Source organism: Homo sapiens, chromosome 3, assembly GCF_000001405.40.
Source record: "Homo sapiens chromosome 3, GRCh38.p14 Primary Assembly".
In the NCBI taxonomy this organism is placed as follows: domain Eukaryota; kingdom Metazoa; phylum Chordata; class Mammalia; order Primates; family Hominidae; genus Homo; species Homo sapiens.
Window position 1 is genome coordinate 27,485,360 of NC_000003.12, and position 6,000 is coordinate 27,491,359.

The 6,000-nt window shown below is 42.9% G+C and overlaps 1 pseudogene; it reads left to right on the plus strand.

Annotated features, from left to right (window-relative positions):
* Positions 848-1,338, plus strand: UBA52P4 (ubiquitin A-52 residue ribosomal protein fusion product 1 pseudogene 4; annotated as a pseudogene).

The window sequence follows — 6,000 nt, forward strand, 5'->3', positions numbered from 1 at the left end:
TAGGCCGTCTCTCAAATATCCCTTCTGTAACGGGATGATTGTAATACCTGCCATGCAGGCTCATTGAAGGATTAAGGGGATTTATATTCATAAAAGTGCCTGGCACATAGCATGCTGATAATTTTCATTATTGTTAACAGGTTTCTCTTGAGTGTTTCATAAAGATGAGAAATTTGGCCGGGCGCGGTGGCTTACGCCTGTAATTACAGCAGTTTGGGAGGCCGAGGCGGGCGGATCACCTGAGATCAGGAGTTCGAGACCAGCCTGACCAACATGACGAAACCCCGTGTCTACTAAAAATACAAAAATTAGCCAGGCATGGTGGCAGGCACCTGTAATCCCAGCTACTCAGGAGGCTGAGGCAGGAGAATCGCTTGAACCCAGGAGGCAGAGGTTGCAGTGAGCTGAGATCACGCCACTGCACTCCAGCCTGGGTGACAGAGCTAGACCCTGTCTCAAAAAAATAAAAAATAAAATAAAAAAAGATAAGGAGAGGTTTAGTTGGGAAGAACTGAAGCCATGCAATGGAAGGATATATAAATACATCAGCGGATCCAGAGCTCACATCCTATTCATCTCCAACTGGGTATTAGTAAAGCTTTTTGTCAGCAATAGGTAGCTAGGTATGCTGGATGACTCATTCCTTCTTTGGGCCCTAGTCCCCTTTTGTCCTAAATTTCCCAGAGAGTTACTTCCAGTCCAGCACACATTGTTCACTTACTTGTACAAGAGCAGATGTGCCTCTATTAATAGCTACTATGTAAAGAGGCCTACAATTAGAGACTGTGACATTTGGCAAACATATTTCATTTCTAATCCTCTCAATACTGCAAAATATCTGCCGTCATCTTTTTCTTCGGCAAGGCAACTGAGCTGCAGACGCAGAGACGCAGATCTTTGTGAAGACCCTCACGGGCAAGACCATCACTCTTGACGTCAAGCCAAGTGACACCATTGAGAATGTCAAAGCCAAAATTCAAGACAAGGAGGTATCCCACCTGACCAGCAGCATCTGATACTTGCTGGCAAACAGCTGGAGGATGGCCGAACTCTCTCAGACTGCAACATCTGGAAAGAGTCCACCCTGCACCTGGTGCTGCGCCTGTAAGGTGGCATTATTGAGCCTTCCCTCTGCCAGCTCTCCCAGAAATACAACTGTGACAAGATGATCTGCCGCAAGTGCTATGCTTGCCTGCACCCCCGTGCTGTCAACTGCTGCAAGAGGTGTGACCACACCAACAACCTGTAACCCAAGAAGGTCAAGGCTCTTCCTTCCTCGAACGGCAGCCTCCCTGGAGCCTCAATAAAGTGTGTCTCTTTCGTTGACTGGAGCAGCAAAAACAAACAAACAAAAAAACAATACTACAAAATATGTTATAGCTCCATTTTACAGATGAGGAAGCTGAAGCCCATAGAAATACTGGTTTTGAGTTCTGGTGAGTGGAACTGCTCTTACTATTGGCACCATTCTTTTTTATTTATTTATTTTTGAGATGGAGTCTCACTCTGTTGCCCAGGCTGGAGTACAGTGGCACAATCTCGGCTCACTGCAACCTCCATCCTCCAGGTTCAAGCAATTCTCCTGCCTCAGCCTCCAGAGTAGCTGGGATTACAGGCGCCCGCCACCACACCTAGCTAATTTTTTGTATTTTTAGTAGAGATGGGGTTTCACCATGTTGGCCAGGCTGGTCTAGAACTCCTGACCTCCAGTGATCCACCTGCCTCGGCCTCCCAAAGTGCTGAGATTACAGGTGTGAGCCACCGCATCTGGCTATAACATTCTATATATTTTATGATTTATTATGCTTATTGTCTACACACACACACACACACACACACGCACAAATGTGAGCTCCATGTAAGCTTCATGTGTACAGCAAATTTGGTTTTTGGTTTTTGGTTTTTTCTCAGATATCCCTATGCCTACGTGAGTGTTTGGCCCCTGTAAACTCTCAGCACATGTGTTAAATGAGTAAATGTACAGGTGGGGCATACATCTGCTCTTCTTAAGATCTAAGAGCATCTTAGGTGACAGCTGAGCATGTGGCCATAGTAACAAGAACAAAGTAGGAGTCAAGAATCATGGTGCCAGAGTTGAAAGTGTTAAATAGTCAGCTTCAAGAAGGTCTTAAAAATGTATGCTTGGCAGACCTTGCTAAACAATGAATTTCTGTTCATCTATCTTGCAAGAAGAAAAAATTATTGGTTTATTTAATCCACAAATATTTTTTTAGTGACGTCTTTGTTGCCATGCACTTTTTCCACTCCTCATTTCATCCCAACTGCTAGAAGAGGAATGTAGCAAAGATCTGAATTATTAAATTTATCACTCAGTTGCCCACTTAATTCAACCTCAGCCAAAGTTCATTCAAGAAGATAATGTGTTAAAATTGCTTTTGTGCAACCAGAGATGGCTATAAAGTGTTCCAAGGTGCTGAAAGGTAAATTGTATTCTTGAATATTTTAAATATTCATCTGGGGCCAGGTGCAGTGGCTCATGCTTGTAATCCCAACACTTTGGGAGGCCAAGGCAAGTGGATCACCTGAGGTCAGGAGTTTGAGACCAGCCTGGCCAACACGGTGAAACCCTATATCTACTAAAAATACAAAAATTAGCTGGGCATGGTGGCAGGCACCTATAGTCACAGCTACTCAGGAGGCTGAGACAGGAGAATTGTTTGAACCCCGGAGGCCAAGGTTGCAGTGAGCCAAGATCACGCCATTGCACCCCAGCCTGGGGCACAGGTCCAGACTCCGTTTCAAAAAAAAAAAATTAATTTGAAATATGGCACAGGGAAACATTTGCTAAACAAAGGTAAATGTAAACCTAAATTCATCAGTAGCAATGAAGTGGTAGTACCTAAAGTTAATGAGTTTTAGCTGTATCCTAAATTCAGAATACTTCCTGAGTATCTGGAGCAGTAGATAATCCTAAAAACCCCTTGGCAAGATCCCCATCCTGAGGAGTGAACGGTCTTCCCAAGAACAATTCTCTATAGGCCAAGGTATAGTTTATAAAGACAGAGAGCAGCTTCTTTGGTATTTTGAAAAGTGTGAAACCATTCTTTTTTTTTTTTTTTTGAGGCGGAGTTTCACTCTTGCTGTCCAGGCTGGAGTGCAATGGTGCAATCTCGGCTCACTGCAACCTCTGCCTCCCTGGTTCAAGCAATCCTCCTGCCTCAACCTCCCAAGTAGCTAGGATTACAGGCACGTACCACCATGCCTGGCTAATTTTGTATTTTTTAGTAGAGACGGGGTTTCTCCATGTTGGTCAGGCTGGTCTCAAACTCCTGACAACATCAGGTGATCTGCCCACCTCAGCCTCCCAAAGTGCTGGGATTACAGGTGTGAGCCACCGCACCTGGCCACGTGAAACCATTCTTAACTTTTAGCAGAGGGTTCTTTGGCAATTATATGTATCTTCATTGCCTCTTCTTGGTTATAGCTAATATTTAAAGGTTTTCTATCATCTGATCCTATAAGGAAAAGTAAAATCATTGGAATAGTGTTTTCAAGAGTACCAGAACAGCCTCAACGGGACAAAGACACAAGGAAAATTACTTCATTGTTCTTTATTTCTATAGGCTAGGCATACAGATAAATATTCAAAAGATGAGGAAATAAAAACAAAAACAGAACTTGTCCCTGATCTCATGGAGTTCAGAGTGCAAAACACCAATATATAAACAACTGTCAACAATGCAATGCATGTAGTTCTGAGTCCACCACGCTCAGCCAAAAGCCTCCTTTTAGAAGATGTTTTAGGGATAATAGTGGTACCCTCCTCAAGGGAATTGCAATAAATATTAAATGAGGGCATCAAATATAGCACCTACATGCAAGAAACACTCAATAAATGCTTATAATTATTATCTGATTGGGAAACCACAAGGTGGGAGAAAGGTGGGCTCAGGTTCATGTAAAGGGAAAGGCCTTGTATACCGGGCCCCTGAGGAATTTATATTCTCATTAGAGTGAAAACTCCTCAAGTGCGGGATGTTCCTTGTCACTGGGAACATCCCAGAGTGCCTGGCACATAGTGGGCATCAAAAATATGTTGAATGAATAAGTGCTAAGGAAATTGGATTTTTTTTTTTACACAAAATTGCAGAACCACCATTAGAGGGTATTAAGGAGGGAAACAACTTGAAATGTAGCTAGTCTTTTTTTTTTTTTTTTTTTTTGAGACGGAGTCTCACTCTGTCACCTAGGCTAGAGTGCAGTGGTGCGATCTCTGCTTACTGCAACTTCCGCCTCCTGGGTTCAAGTGATTCTCTGCCTCAGCCTCCTGAGTAGCTGGGTTTACAGGTGCTCGCCACCATGCCTGACTAATTTTTGTATTTTTAGTAGGGACGGGGTTTCACCATCTTGGCCAGGCTGGTCTTGAACTCCTGACCTCGTGATCCACCTGCCTTGGCTTCCCAGAGTGCTGGGATTACAGGCGTGAGCCACTGCGCCTGGCCGAAATGTAGCTAGTCTTAATTGAGATATGCTTAAAAGATTTAACATACACACCAAGAAAGTAATCTCGTTCATAATCTTATATTCATTACATGTTGAAATGACAATACTTTGGATAATTTGGGTTAAATAATGGCCTCTCAAAATATCCGGGAGTATACCAGCCTAGGTATTTTGTTGTCTCCACTGAAGCAACAAAATACCTAGGCTAGTATACTCCCGGATATTTTGAGAGGCTGTTATTGATCAGATATTCATCCAGGGAGAGAGACAGAAAAGAATGTAGATCACTAAGATCAAGCTACATAACATGGAGTCTCTGTGTACATGTATAATTCACATAGAGTGTAACACCACTATCATCACCATTCCTTGGGGTACCTGTTCCTTGATAGTGTGAACCCCAAAAGTCTGACGCAGGTTAATTTAGAAAGTTTATTTTGCCAAGGTTGAGGAGACACACAGGTGACACAGCCTCAGTAGTTCCTGACAACTTTGCCCATGGTGGTTGGGGCACAGCTTGGTTTTATACATTTTAGGGAGACATGAGACATCAATCAATATATGTAAGATATACAGGTAGGTGAGAGACAAATGGTTGCGTTCTTTTGAGTTTCTGATTAGCCTTTCCAAAGGAGGCAATCAGATATGCATTTATCTCAGTGAGCAGAGGGATAACTTTGAATAGAATGGGAGGCAGGTTTTCCCTAAGCAGTTCCCAGCTTGACTTTTCCCTTTAGCTTAGTGATTTGGGGGCTCCAAGATTTATTTTCCCTTTACAATAGGAACACATCCCCTTCCAGACTTAAGAGGCATTTTCATCTCTTTTCACTTATAAAATATTGTGGGTAGAGGCCGGGCGCAGTGGCTCACGCCTATAATCCCAGCACTTTGGGAGGCCGAGGCAGGCGGATCACGAGTTCAGGAGATCAAGACCATCCTGGCTAACACGGTGAAACCCCGTCTCTACTAAAAAAATACAAAAAAATTAGCCGGGCGTGGTGCCGGGCGCCTGTAGTCCCAGCTACTGGGGACACTGAGGCAAAAGAATGGCATGAACCTAGGAGGCAGAGCTTGCAGTGAGCCGAGATCGCGCCACTGCACTCCAGCCTGGGCGACAGAGCGAGAGTCCGTCTCAAAAACAACAACAACAACAACAACAAAAAATACTGTGGGTAGAGTATATGTTCACTTATGGTCACTGAAATATTTTTGATAGAAAAATATACTGGTAATCATCAATATGTCAGTCAAGGGAGATTGGTACTACAAATGATGAAATGCAATTTACGATTAAAAAGAATGAGTTAGGTGTGCTGAGAAGGGAAGGGTTTCAAAATATATTATGAATATTATTAAGTTACAAAAAAACACAAGGTAAGTAACAATGGCTGTACTATGATTCTTTTTACAAGCTAAAAGAATTATGTATCTATGTATCTATTCCCTTCTGGAAGTAAGTTAAGACACTTCTAAGAGTGGGTATCATTGGAGAAGGTGAGGGTATCTATCTTATTGTACTTTTAACTTTTTTGAGAC